General features: G+C 38.7%; 1 protein-coding gene across 35 annotated transcripts in view, besides 1 other annotated feature; it reads left to right on the top strand.

The window, feature by feature from the left end:
* ATE1 (arginyltransferase 1) overlaps nucleotides 1-15,543 on the top strand; it is a 188,040-nt gene that overhangs the window by 167,280 nt on the left and 5,217 nt on the right. The gene's annotated exons all lie outside the window — the stretch shown is intronic.
* Nucleotides 6,874-6,933: an enhancer, noted in NCBI's record as "active region_4140". NCBI's record gives its function as "activates an Ori minimal core promoter by ATAC-STARR-seq in GM12878 lymphoblastoid cells {active_cell/tissue: GM12878}" and the evidence as "EXISTENCE:reporter gene assay evidence [ECO:0000049][PMID:35858748]".

The following is a 15,543-nucleotide window of genomic DNA, read 5'->3' as shown; positions in this document are numbered from 1 at the left end:
GATGAGGGCCTCAAGCTGCTCCCACCCATGGTGGAAATCAGAGCAGAGCCATGGCATGTGCAGGGATCACATGGCAAGAGAGGAAGCAAGAGAGAGGAGAGGAAGGTGGCAGGCTCTTCTTACCAACCAGCTCTTGTGGGAACTAATAGAATGAGAACTCGCCTCCCCTGCTCCAGGTCATTAATCTGTTAATGAGGGATCCACCCCCATGACCCAAACACCTCCCACTGGGCTCCACCTCCAACATTGGACATCAAATTTCAACATGATGTTTGGGAGGACAAACATATGAATTATAGCAGGGTGGCTGTGGCAATTTCTTAAAATAAGACAACAAAGAACTGTACTGCATCAGTTAACTCTTCCATTCACAAAAGAGTTCTCTGTAGCATGCAGTGCTGTTTGATAGCAGTAGAACTTCTTTCAGAATTGGAGTCAGTCTTCTCAGATCATGCTGCTGATTTATCAACTAAGTTTGTCTAATGTTCTTTAAGTTTTTTGTTGTCATTTCAACCATATTTGCAGCATCTTCACCAGAGGTAGATTTTGTCTCAAGCAATCACTTTCTTTGCTCTTCCATAAGAAACAACTCCTCCTCCATGCAAGTTTTATCATGAGATTGCAGCATTTTGTGACATCTTCAGACTCCACTTCTATTTCTAATTGTACTGTTTTGACTGCAGCTTCAGTAACTTCCTCCACTGAATTCTCAAACCCCTCCAAATCATCCATGAGGTTTGGAATCAACTTCGTCCAAATGTCTGTTAATGTTGATAGTTTGACTTCCTCCCATGAATAATAAATGTTCTGAATGGCATTTAGAATGGTGGATCCTTTCCAGAAGGTTTTCTATTTACTTTGCCCAGATCTATCAGAGGAATCACTTTTATGGTAGCTATAGCCTTATGAAATGTATTTCTTAACTAGTAAGACTTGAAAATGGAAAATATTCCTTGATCCATGGGCTTCAGAATGGTTATTGTGTTAGCAGGCATGAAAACAACACTGATCTTGTATAACTTCATCGGAACTCTTGGGTAACCAGGCACATTGCCAGTGAGCAGTATTTGGTAAGGAATCAGAAAAACTGAGCAGTAGGTCTCAACAGTGGGCTTAAAATATTCAGTAAAATACGCTGCAAAGAGAACTGTTCTGTAAACAGATGTGCTGTCATCTAGGCTTTGTTGTTCCATTTATAAAGCACAAAATTTACCATAATTCTTAAGGACCCTTGTGTTTTCAGTATGATTAATGAGCATTGGCTTCAGCTTAAAGTCACCTGCTGTGAAAATCCTAGATGGCAGCTTCTTCCAGTAGAAGACTGTTTCATCTGCATTGAAAATCTCTGGTTTAGTGTAGCCACCTTCTTGATGATCTTGGCTAGATCTTCAGGGTAACTTGCTGTAGCTTCTATATTAGCACTTGCTGCTTCACCTTATACTTTTTTTTTTTTTTTTTTTGAGACGGAGTCCCACTCTGTTGCCCAGGCTGGAGTGCAGTGGCGCAGTCTCGGCCCACTGCAAGCTCTGCCTCCTGGGTTCACGCCAGTCTCCTGCCTCAGCCTCCCAAGTAGCTGGGACTACAGGTGCCCGCCACCACACCTGGCTAATTTTTTTGTATTTTTAGTAGAGACAGGGTTTCACCGTGTTAGCCGGGATGGTCTCAATCTCCTGACCTTGTGATCCACCTGCCTCAGCCCCGCAAAGTGCTGGGATTACAGGCGTCAGCCACCATGCCCGGCCGGCTTCACCTTGTACTTTTATGGAGATGGCTTCTTTCCTTAAACCTCATGAATCAATCTCTCCTAGCTTCCGCCTTTTCTTCTGCAATGTCCTTACCTCTCAGCCTTTAGAGAATTGAAGAGAGTTAGGGTCTTGCTCTGAATTAGGCATTGAGTTAAGAGAATGTTGTGGCTGGTTTGATCTTCTATCCAGATCACTAAGACTTTCTCCATATCAGCAATAAGGCTGTTTTACTTATGATTTGTGTGTTCACTGGAATAGCACTTTTTATTTCTGTGAAGAACTTTTCTTTTGTATTTGCAGCTTGGCCGTTTGGCACAAGAGCCATCAGTCTGTCTCAGCTTTCAGTGTGCCTTCATCACCATGTTTAATCATTTCTAGCCTTTAATTTAAAGTGAGAGACTTGCAACACTTAGAGGCCTTTTAGGGTTTTTAATTGGCCTAATTTCAATATTGTTGTGTTTCAGGAAATAGGGAGGCCCAAGGAGAGGGAGAAAGACAGCAGAAGGGCAGGTCTGTGGGGCAGTCAGAATACACACAGCATTTATCAATTAAGTTTGCCATCTTACATGGGCACAGTTTGTGATACCCCAAACCAATTACAGTAGTTAACATCACTGATTACTGATCATAGATCACCATAACAGATATAATAATAATGAGAAAATTTGAAATATTGGGAAAATTGCCAAAATGTGACATGATAAACCAAGTAAACACATACTCTTGGAAAAATGGCACCTATTCTCAATGCAGGGTTGCCACAAATCTTTAATTTGTAAAAACAAACAAACAAACAAACAAACCCTCAATATCTGAGAAGCACACTAAAGTCCAGCAAAATAACGTATGGTTATATTTCCTCCGGTAGAGGCTGTCTCCACAGAAAGCCAATACTATTGTAAGGAAAGTGAATTTGTATTTGCCCCTAAGATTAATACTATAATTTCTAATTTAATTTTATGCTCCAGGAAATTTTCAGAGGTATTGCTACTTAAAGGTATTTTTAGAAGTCTCTAGCTTAATTCTTTTGGAAAGAATCAAAGATCAACCCAATGCCAAATTCATTCTTTGGAAATTAGTCTTATGACTCCCTTTCATTGTAAATGGGAATTTGGCTTTGTGACCTAAAGAGGTCGCCTGTCCATTTACCATCATGGTAATAGCTTAATAGCTTTTGTGACCTGTGAAATATGGTAGAATTTAAAGCTATTGATTTAAAACAAAAAACTTATAGGCAAACTGAACATAATAGATCCTAAGATGAACTGATTCAATGTATTTGATAATTTTAAAAAAATTATTAGCTACACATATACATACTTATATTAAGTATAGTACCTTCTTTGTTCTTGTCTCAGGACTCTATCCTATTTAACATTTTTATTTTTATTTTGATAGCCACATTTCCGTTACTGTGCAACTGGTAAGGATCTCTTAACATGTCAGAAGAAAAGAAACAATATGAAAATACTTCAGTAGGCTGGAGTGATGGGAATATGTCAGAACAAAATTTAACAATGAGAAAAGTACAAATGCCATGCTTGGGTTCCAGAATACACACAAATATGAGGGAATATGATGGGAAGGTGAAGAACACAGTTTAGCACTAGCATTTTTGTATGGTTTGGCTCTGTGTCCCCACCCAAATGTCATCTTGTAGCTCCCATAATTCTCACATGTTGTGGGAGGGACCCAGTGGGAGTGAATGATTGAATTATGGAGGCAAGTCTTTCCTGTACTGTTTTTGTGATAGTGAATGGGTCTCACAAAATCTGATGGTTTTAAAAATGGGAGTTGCCCTGCACAAGCTCTCTTTGCTGCCATCATCCATGTAAGATGTGACTTGCTCCTCCTTGCCTTCCACCATGATTGTGAGGCTTCCCCAGTCATGTGGAACTGTAAGTCCAATTAAACCTCTTTTTTTGTAAATTGCCCAGTCTCAGGTATGTCTTTATCAGCAGCCTGAAAATGGACTAATACAGTAAATTGGTACCAGGAGTGGGGTACTGCTGAAAAGCTACCCTAAAATGTGGAAGCAACTTTGGAACTGGGCAACAGGCAGAGGTTGGAACAGTTTGTAGGGCTCAGAAGAAGACAGGAAAATGTGGGAAAGTTTGGAACTTCCTAGAGATTTGTTGGATGGCTTTGACCAAAGGCCCGAAAGCCATATGGACAATAAGGACCAGGCTGAGGTGGTCTCAAATGGAGATGAGGAACTCGTTGGGAACTGGAGCAAAGGTGACTCTTGTTATGTTTTAGCAAGGAGACTGGCGGAATTTTCTCCCTGCCCTAGAGATTTGTGGAACTTTGAACTTGAGAGAGGTGATTTAGGGTATCTGGCAGAAGAAATTTCTAAGCATCCAAGCATTGAAGAGGTGACTTGGGTGCTGTTAAAGGCATTCAGTTTTATAACGGAAGCAGAGCATAAAAGTTTGGAAAATTTGCAGCCTGACAATACAATAGAAAAGAAAATCCCATTTTCTGAGGAGAATTCAAGCTGCTTGCAGAAATTTGCGTAAGTAACAAGGAGTGGAATGTTAATCTCCAAGACGGTGGGGGAAAATATCTCCAGGTTATGCCAGAGGTCTTCATGGCAGCCCCTCCCATCACAGGCCTGGAGACCTAGGAGGAAAAAGTGGTTTTATGGGCTGGGCCCAGGGGTCCCTGTGCTGTGTACAGCCTAGGGACTTGGTGTCCTGCATCTCAGCCACTCCAGCTGTGACTAAAAGTGGCCAAGGTAGAGCTCAGGCTGTTGCTTCAGTGGGTAGAAGCCCCAAGCCTTGGCAGCTTCCACATGGTGTTGAGCCTGTGGGTGCACAGAAGTCAAGAATTGGGGTTTGGGAACCTCTGCCTAGATTTCAGAAGATGTGTGGAAATGCCTGGATGCCCAGGCAAAAGTTTGCTGCAGGAGTGGGGCCCTCATGGAGAACCTCTGCTAGGGCAGTGCAGAAGGGAAAGGTGGCATTGGAGCCCTCCCACAGAGTCCTTACTGGGACACCGCTGGGTGGGGCTGTGAGAAGAGAGGGTCACTGTCCTCCAGACCCTAGAATGGCAGATCTACCAACAGCCTGCACTGTGCACCTGGAAAAGCTGCAGACACTCAACGCTAGCCTGTGAAAGCAGCAAGGAGGGAGGCTATACCCTGAAAAGCCACAGGGGCGGAGCTGCCCAAGACCATGGGAACCCACCTCTTGTATCAGAGTGACCCGGATGCGAGGCATGGAGTCAAAGGAGATCATTTTGGAACTTTAGGATTTGACTGCCCTGCTGGATTTTGGACTTGCATGGGACCTGTAGCCCTTTTGTTTTGGCCAATTTCTCCCATTTGGAACGGCTATATTTACCTAATGCCTGTACCCCCATTGTATCTAGGAAGTAACTTAGTTTTGATTCTACAGGCTCATAGGCAGAAGGGACTTGCCTTGTCTCAGACGAGACTTTGGACTTGGACTTTGGGGTTAATTCTGAAATGAGTTGAGATGTTGGGGGACTGTTGGGAAGGCATAATTGGTTTGAAAATGTGAAGATACGAGATTTGGGAGAAGCCAGAGGCGGAATGATATGGTTTGGCTCTGTGTCCCCACCCAAATCTCATCTTGTAGCTCCCATAATTCCCATGTGTTTTGGGAGGGACCCAGTGGTGAGTTATGGGGGTGGGTCTTTCCCATGCTGGTCTTATGATAGTGAATGGGTCTCATGAGGTCTGGTGGTTTTAAAAATGGGAGTTGCCCTGCACAAGCTCTCTGCCTGCCACCATCCATGTAAGACATGACTTTGCTCCTCCTTGCCTTCTGACATGATTGTGAGACTTCCCCAGCCACATGGAACTGTGAGCCCAATTAAGCCTCTTTCTTTTGTAAATTGCCCAGTCTTTGGTATGTCTTTATCAGCAGTGTAAAAACGGACTAATACACAACATTTTTTATTTTTAAATTTCAAATTTACAGGAAAATGACAAGAATAATACAAAGAACATATGCATACCCTTCACTCAGACTCCCCAGTTATTAACGTGTTACCACATTTGCCTTATCACTTTTTCTGTTTTACTCTGTATTTTTTTCTAAACCATTTGAGAATAAGTTTCTGATATATTGCACCACTGTCCTTCAGTATCCCAGTGTGTATTAGCTGAAAACAAGGACACTTTTTTTTACATTACTAGACATGGCCATCAAAACCAGGAAAGTAACATTGAGATGTTACCATCTAATCCACACACCCTGTACAAGTGTTACAGATTTTCCCTGTAATGTCCTTTATAGCACAAAAATGCATACACACATACACAAGCCTATGTTACTTTTCTCTCTGTTTTTTTAGACCTAAGGTTCAAGTGAGGATCCTGTGTTACATTTATTGTTGTGTCTTTTTAGGCCCCTTTTGTCTAGAACAATACCATAGTATATCCTTGTCTTTTGTTACCTCGATATTTTTGAAGAGTCCAGTCACTTTGTAGTTTTTCATTTGTGTTCATCAAGTATTTCTTTGTAATTAGATTCAGGTCACATAGCTTTGGCAAGAACACCCTAGAAGTGATGCTGGGTTTGTATTGCATCATATCAGGAGGTATACAGTGTTAATTCATCTCTGTACTGTGACTTGAATTTTTATCACTTGGGGAAGTGGAATGTACCAGGTTTCTCCACTGTAAAGTTGATAAGTATTTTGTACATGTTAATAAGTAATTGGTAAATATTTTGTAGAAAGCTGTCCTGAGATGGTGTAAATATCCTATTGTGTCAGACTTATATCTACTGGTTTTTACATCCATTGACGATTCTTGCCTCAATCACTTATTACTGAGATGGCTGCCAAATGATGATTTTCTAATTCTATCACTACTTCTACTTTTATTAGTTGGCATTCTACAATAAGGAAAAGCAGTCCTCTTTCCCTGTTTGTTGTTTATATTGACTCACGGAATCTCATTCTAATCAATGTGTTATAAAATTGTTACTTTCATTATTTATTTTGAATGCTCAAATTGTCTCAGATTTGGCCAGTAGGAGCCTTTTCAGGGTGACTCATGTTTTCTTTTGACAAGTCCCCATCATTTTTTGAGCACTTCCTTTCTGGCACAAAATATTTCAGACTCATCTTATACTTTCTCTGACTCAGTTCTATAATTAGTCACGTCTCCAAGGAGCCCTAGTTATTTTTTGTGAAGAGTAATATTCAGAATACAAGATGTGAGTAATAAGTATGCTCATTGCTACCGGGGTTTCATTGCTTCTAAGCCCTCTCAGCAGACAGATCTAGGCAATATATGTGAGTTTATACACATACGTTTATATCTACCTGTGTATCTGTATGTCTATATCAGGGTATAAAAGTCATGGGTTTTCACCAGTATCTGGAATTTTAATCCAGCACAACAGTTTGTTCTAGTCTTCTCCTTTTCCATACTTGTAGCTCCATTCTCTGACTGAGAAATCTGGCCTCCCCATTTTCTCAGTATATTTATTTATATGCTCAGTTCCCTTGTATGTAACTAATTTCTTGACCACATGGGGCAGAATTGGCCCAGTCCTGCCAGCCTGAACTCACAAATGTCTCTTTGGCCCAGCCCCAGCACATAAACCAACTTCCCTCTCATCTTTGAGAAATCCTGTAATAGCATGTTTTAATTTACGTTTCTTTCATTATATTCTATGAGTTTTTAAGCCTCGCCTTTATTAGGATAAAGATAAACGGTGAAATAGGAAGTGTCTAAGATGAGTATTTAGGGGTCAAAACATAGAATAGAAATTTGAGAGTCCTTATTCATCATCATAAGAGATTTTATTAGCATTTTACTTGGCCAGTATTTACAGATCCTACCAGCAGTATATGTGCTGAGGTGATAAAGTTGATGTGATTTTTTTGTATGCAATTGCCTGATTTTTGCATTCTTTCTGCTTTTCTCTGGTGACCTTTTACTGGACTTTGATACCAAATGACCATAATATCAAAATTAACCTGGAGTTCTTTCTGGCTAGAATCATCTTGATAAATTATATAATTTATATTTTGTTATGTGACTTTTGGGAGCCAATGTTGTTTTTAATCAACATATCATGAGTTTAACTAAATTGCATAGATTTTTTTCCTTTGAAATATTATATTTTAGCCATGCCAGTTCAGCAAGAAAATGAAATAAAAGGCATTCAGATTGGAAAGGAAGAAGAAACACTGTCTCTATTCTCAGATGACATGACCTTGTACATAGAAAATCCTAAAGAATGTAAAGAACTATCAAATAAAATGAGTTCAGCATACACAGAAATCAATTTTATCCTACACACTTAAACAGTGAGCAATTTAAAAATGAAATTATCAACAGTTGCGTTTACAACAGCATTAAAATAGAATTGTTAGGAATAAATTTAACAGAGCAATGCAAAAATTATATTCTGGAAAATACAAAACATTGTTCAAAGAAATTACAGAAGACCTAAATAAGTGAAGAAAACATCCCATGTCCATGGATCAGGAGACTTAATATTGTTAAGATGGTAGTACTCCTCAAATTCATTTACAGATTCAGAGCAGTGATCTATTAAAATCCCAGCTGGCTTCCCTGCAGAAACTGACAATCATAAAATTCACATGGAAATGAAAGGAACCCAGGATAGCCAAAACAATCTTTAAAAAGAATAATAAAGTTAACACTATGTGGTCCTGGCATGCAGGTAGACATACAGATCTGTGGACTAGAGTTGAGAGTCCAGAAATAAACCCTCATGTTTATGGTCAGTTAGTTTTCAAAAAGGATGCCAAGACAATTCAGGGAAAAGGATACAGCCTTTCAACAAATGGTCCTGCATCTTTCAAAAAAATGAAATTGGCCCCCTACTTCACACCATATACAAAAATTAAAATGGGTTGGACCTAAATGTAAGAGCTAAAACTATAAAATTCGTAGAAATGCCAGGTGCGGTGGCTCACGCCTGTAATCCCAGCACTTTGGGAGGCTAGGGCAGGCAGATCACGAGGTCAGGAGATCGAGACCATCATGGCTAACATGGTGAAACCCTGTGTCTACTAAAAATACAAAAATTAGCCAGGCGTGGTGGCGGGTGCCTGTAGTCCCAGCTACTCGGGAGGCTGAGGCAGGAGAATGGCATGAACCCGGAAGGCGGAGCTTGCAGTGAGCAGAGGTTGCGCCACTGCACTCCAGCCTGGGCGACAGAGGGAGACTGCGTCTCAAAAAAAAAAAAAACCTTAGAAATATAAATTGGAGTAAATCTTTTTTTTTTTGAGACAGAGTCTCACTCTGTCGCCCAGGCTGGAGTGCAGTGGCGCAACCTCGGCTCACTGCAAGCTCTGCCTGCTGGGTTCATGCCATTCTCCTGCCTCAGCCTCCCTAGTAGCTGGGACTACAGGCGGCCGCCACCGTGCCTGGCTAATTTTTTTGTATTTTTTTTAGTAGAGACGGGGTTTCACCCTGTTAGCCAGGATGGTCTCGATTTCCTGACCTCACGATCCATGCGCCTCAGCCTCCCAAAGTGCTGGGATTACAGGTGGGAGCCACCACGCCCGGCCACATTGGAGTAAATCTTCATCACCTTGCACTGGGCAGTGTTTTCTTAGATATGATACAAAAAGCACAGGCAACAAAAGAAAAAAAATTGATAAATTGGACTTTACCAAAATTTAAAACTTTTGTCCTTTCAGAGACCCAGTCAAGAAGGTGTGAAGATAATTCACAGAATGAGAGAGTGTATTTCCAAATAATGCATTCAATAAGGATCTAGTAACCAGAATATGTAAAGAATTCTGACAACTCAATAAAAAGACAACCCAATTAACAATGGGCAAATGATTTAAACAGACATTTCTAAGAAGACATATGAATGGGCAATAAGCACATGAAAAGATGCTCAGCATCATTAGCTATTGGAGAAATGCAAATCAAAATCACAAAAAGATACTGCTATGCACCGACTAAGAAGGCTGCAACCTAGAAAGCAGCTAATAGCAGTGCTCATGAGGATGTGGAGAAATTGGAACCTTTGTATACTGCTGGTGGGAATGTCAAATGAGGCGGCCACTTGGGAAAACAGTCTGGCAGTTCTTCAGTATGTTGACTGCTAATAGATGTTATGGTTGCACAACTCTGTGAATACACTGTAAGTCCTTGGTTTGTATAATTTAAATGGGTGAATTACATGGTATGTAAATTATATCACAATAAAGCTGTTATTAAATGACATTTTACAAGCTTAGATATTTCTTAGTTTTCATTTTGACCAAAAATATTCCGAGTGAAATTACAACAGTATTACTTTATAGAATATGAACATGCGTAATTCTCTCAGCTGGAGTCCCAAATTAATTTCTGAGCCTCCCACCAAATGGGCTTAAAGAATGGGCTGGGAGCCTTGTTATTTCTGTCACAACTGCTCTGCATTTCTCGGCCTGTTCTTTTGCTATTTTATGCTGAAAAGCTTCCTTTCTTCTCACCTTTCCTGTCCCCTCCCTCGTAAAGATTAAAAAATTTGTTAATATCTCCTGTCACTTTAAAATATTCTAAATCATACTTGACTTTGAACTTCCAGAGTTGCGTTTTTGTAGAGTATTTCTTCCGCTGTCATTCATTTGTGGAAAATTTTAAATTATTAAATCAGTTTTGTCCAGCTATCTCCAGCCATCTGCCATTTATATAAGTATCTTCCTTGGAGTATGTAACTTGTTTTATTTATGTAGTAATGCTGTATGTAGCAGTAAATAATGAAGTTAAGAGAATAGACTTTCATTAATTTTTGGAAAGCCTAGAAGTTATAAAGTCTCTTTAAGAATAACAAATGAGTTAAATCCCCATAAGAAGGAGAAGTAAAGCTTTGATCTCTAGATTCTTGTCCTTTGAAAGCACCTGTATTGTGCATTTCATCTCCTGTGAATAAAAAGTTGGGGGAAAAAATCAAGTAGTTGTTGCCCACCAGTTTTCCTTGAAGATTAAAATTTCATGGAGTTGACAATATATTTGTATCGCTAGTGATCAAATGCTCATCTCAGAAGAGAGTTTGCAGGATTGCCTTTGGTTGTTATTGTATGAAATTAGATTGTGATACATCAGAGACAGGAAAAGTGGAAGAAGTTCTAGTTGGAACATATTTTTAAGACATCTCAGTAAGCCGAGAGTTTTTCTTAGATGAAATGGCACATGGTCCTTAATCTCCAAATGGCTTATTTTTCTGTTATCTTCAAGATCACCTAAGAAAATGCCTGTTGTGCTGTGTGGGTTCAGCTCTAGAGATTTTTGTCTACACTGATGACATTTATTAGGCAAGCAAGAAAAGATGATTATAAAGGGGTTTTGTAAGGATTTGGAGTACCTTTTTTCCTTTAGTATATAAATCATAATTTATTGTTAATGGCTTAAGTATTTTTGCTTAGGTTTTCATGTTAATTATGTAGAATATGCTAAGAATTAGAATCTGCCTTTCTTAGGAACGTAACTAAGTGAGTGTAAGACCACAGAACATTAAGCCCAGAAGACAGAAGTATGTTTTGCCTATAATGATAATCAGTAGTTTTTCAAGTTAATATATTATACCCACTGAAGGGGTAATTTGATGTTTCTTCCTTAAATTAAGGTATTGCTAGAATGTGATCCAAAACTCTGTATTTTAATATTTAAATGCATTTTATGAAATTGTTAAAACACTGGTAACTTGGATGGGTGTTTGGTGAGGGTAGGAGGAAACTGTAGAAGTGAGGGTTCTGCATGGGGGGCTGACGTCAGTCTCTGCTTTGTTTATTTCTATGTTACTTGAATTTTACAACAGGCATTACTTTGATGACTAAAAATGATGTAAAATTAAAAATTAATGTCGTTATTGAATATTCATTAATTAATTGATAACTAATTCCAAGACAGTTTGTTGAGTTCATTCAGTTTGATAGTTTTTAAAAATGGATAGTGTATCTTTCCTTTGTTTCTATCACTGTATGTCTTGTTGATCTGTGTTTCCTTTTTCTAAAGTACTGCAGTTGTAGCTTGATTTCTTTGGGTAGGCAGAATTCTAAATTTGAGTTACAATTAAAGGGTTTTTCACGTGAGAAAAGATAGGCTTAGTATTAATTTTTAAAGGGAAACTAAATGTTTTTATTTGCTTGTATGTTAATATCTGAGTATACCTTCTTGGTTGAATAAATTGTTCCTGACAGAATGTGCAAATTAAGTTTGAATTAATGTAACTACAGAATTAGATAAAATCTTACCTGAGTACTGAGGATTTTGTGAAATGTTAGAACCTGGTGTATTGGGCATTATGAACATTAACCCAGGGAAGCAGTTAGGTTTGAAGGAAGGTATGGGCAGGAGCTTGACAGATGCTGGCAACACATATTATTAGATGTTTCTGTGCCATTTTTATAGTCAAAGTGTGTTCATGGGAAAACTAAAGAATTTGGGACAGTTGACAAAATTAAGTCGTATTTTAGTAAATTAATTAAAAAGTTTCCATCAAGTTTCAGCATAGTCTGTGTGTTGGTGATAGAATTAGCACCACATTACTTGCAGTATTAAACAACAATCCTACAAGCTTCTGAAGGATTTGAACACTAAGACTAAATATAGTTGGATTTCCAAGTGATTCCAAGTGACTTGGATGCATTAACATTGAAGAGAATGAGAGGATTTTAAAATTCATTAGTATCACTTTTTTATAATTATGTATGACATTAAAAAGTGAATAGCTTCTCAATATCTGCTTTATAAGATACTTTATTATGGATTTGACAGCTTTGATCCAGAACAATTCTAGGCCTCAAAAGTGTTTTGGGTTAAAAAAAAAAACAAAAAAACTATTGAACTTGATTAATTTCTGTGCCATAACTCTATAAAAATGCTGTCAATTAATTTAGAAGTTTAGGAGACTTAATTGTATGTGTTTGTTAACAGATATCAGTGACATCATAAGCCAATTTGGAATTCAGTGGTTGAAACATAGATATTGTAGTGTTTCCCAAAAATATGACAGTGTGTAATTTTATAGCTTTTTCATGTGATCTCAATAAATAGAATGGAAGTCTATATTTTGACAAATGAAACAAAATTTCTGCTCTCCACAGGGAATACACTTTAAAATAATTGATGTAAATTATACATAATGGTAGGGTTTTTCATAATCTTGTATTTTTATTTGTATATATCATACTGGAAAAGAGTAAAAATTAAAGGATGACATTTTATTTTAGATAAAATGACATATCAGATCTCACATTCTTATTTGCTAGGGTGTTTCATTTATTGGGGTCTTAAAGTATATCTGTCCCCAAATATTTTAGGATAAAGGTTTAAACTGTTAAGCATCATTCTGTATAAATATAGACATACTTTAAAATTCCAATTTAAAAAATTCAAGGTTTTAGATTTAGAAAATTTTGTTTTGCCATTGTTCTTGCTGCTTTTTCACTTGCTGATCTCACCGATCTTCACTTTTTTATTTGTATGAGACTCTAAACATACTTGAATCTGCCTTTTTCCTGCTAGACACATTTAGATGGTGGAGATTGTTATTCATGTTGCAATGTGCACACATTAAAATATCCAAAATGGACAGCAGGAATCAAAGTATTGCCTCTTCCTTTGTTTGTCATTTACCCTGGTAAGGGATGTGATAACCTAGGACATGTTAAACATATAATTGTTTCAAAGTATGTGGACTTTCCCCTTTGGTTGGATAAAGTAATTTGTAAGAAACATAGTTTTAAATTCATATGTGTATCAGGATCTAAGCAGGAACACCAAAACCACTTCAAGTATTTACAACAGAGAAAATTTAATGCAGGGAATTGGTGATAACAGGCAGTGGTGTTGCTGAGAGCCAAGCAAGGCACAGAAAGGTGACCCAGAGATTAGCAGTAGTAGGAAGACACTGCTACCCTGTGCTGAAGAGGAAAGGGGGCCCAGGGGTCAGGGCTACCCAGAACCCTGACAACTTCAAGAGCAGCTAGAGCAGCTTCCAAAAAGCAGAGCCATGGAAGAGAGAGGAGAGGTTTGGGGGGAAAATGCCCTTGCTTCTTTATCCCCCCAGCTCCAGTCTCTTGTTACTGGCTGAACCCAGTTGGAGACCAGCTGAGCCTGCAGGAGCCAGCCTCCTGCAATACAGAGCAGAACAGGTGGAGGGCGAGGAATGGAGCTGAGGGCAAGCAGGCGCAGATGAAACAGCAATATTGAGAAGTTCCTTCTCTTGACAGTTTATGTCCATCTTCATCTTGATCTCCTTTGAATATGTCCCTGGACAAATTAACAATAGAAAACGACAATGGCACTCAGTTCTGTGGATGTGAAGGCCCTCTGGCTGGCATCGTTGATGTTCCTTTCTCCTCATCCCTCCATGCCATCCCAAGCTGTTTGTCAGTGAAAGACTGTGGTCTTCTCTGCCAGTGTAGAACTTCTTTTTGGCTAACAGCACATAATTAGCTTGTATCTCCTGCTACAAACCTCTGAACAGGCATAGAATGTAGTCATTTGGGGGAATGCCCTAACTGACATTCTCTAAGATGACTGAGATCAGCTAAGCCTCTGAAATAAATTCATATAGTAGGAACACTCTCATTTAGATGTCGGAAGAAGAGTGTTATGCCTGTCACTTTTGAAATTGAGCTTGGATGATTTCTCCTGATTAATTTATGTCCCTTTAGAGAAAGCAACGACTGTTGAGGAAGAATAAACTTTTTTTTTTTTTTGCTACAATTACAAAATAAGGGATGTAATCTAACTTAAGTATTCAGAGCATAGAGCCTTGTATGAAGTGGACATCCAGTAAAATGTTTGATTAAATTTGTAGTGAATGTACTGTGAAAAGTTGATCATTGGCTTTGGGCTTTGGGCTTTGAGAACTAGATATAGGAGTTTATAGCTGGAAGACTAAGAAATCTCCTAAAACAGTCCCGTTGATTTATAGAAAAGGAGGCTGGCATTTCTATTTTTATTTTCAGGAAATTCAAATTTAGAAAAATAAAATGCTTAAATTAACCTTAAAAACAACTATTTTTTAGATTACAAAAGTCTTGTAGAATATAAAAAAAGATGAGTTTGTGTGTGTGTCCCAGCGTGAAAGTCTGTAATTAATTCTACTCCCAGGAATTGATGCAGCAAATATTTATGGAGCCTCTACTGTGTGCTAGGTAGTGTTCTAGGCACTGGGGAAGTATTAGCAGACGAAACAGTTGAAATATTTCTTCTCACAGCACTTTATTCCTAATGGAAAGGGAAATAGGCAGTAAATATATGTGTCAGGTGGCGGTAAGTGCTATGAAGAAAGATGGAGGAGAACTAGAGTGGATTTTCTATTTTATGTGGGTCCAGGGAAGCCCTCTGACAGTGATCAGGGGAGTAAGAGGGTGAGCTGTCAGGTACTCTGGGGAAGCGGGTAATTCTGCGCAAAGGGAAGGGTTAGCAATACGTTCTATTAACAGGCTGACATATATGTCTCCAGATTTTTTATATTGGACTTTTAAATAAAATAACTATTGTTTATACTGTGCCTACTTTTGCCTTTCACTTAACAGTCTATCTTCCTTTGTCTTTTTAATAGTTGTGTATAACATTTCATTCTGTGGATATACCTTAACTCTTTACCCAGTTCTCCATCGATGGACATTCAGGCTGTTTCCAGTTTCTAAGAGAGAGTGTTGCCATAAACAGCCTCATACATGCATGGAAACACTTGTATGGGTGTTTCTCTAGGACAGTGGTTCTTTTTTTTGTTTGTTTTGAGACAGAGTCTTGCTCTGTCGCCCAGGCTGGAGTGCAGTGATGCCATCTCGGCTCACTGCAAACTCCGCCTCCCGGGTTCACACC

This window comes from Homo sapiens, chromosome 10 (genome assembly GCF_000001405.40).
Source record: "Homo sapiens chromosome 10, GRCh38.p14 Primary Assembly".
NCBI classification, from domain to species: Eukaryota; Metazoa; Chordata; class Mammalia; order Primates; family Hominidae; genus Homo; species Homo sapiens.
The sequence above is the reverse complement of the archived record's forward strand: the minus strand, read 5'-3'. Positions and strand labels throughout refer to the sequence as shown.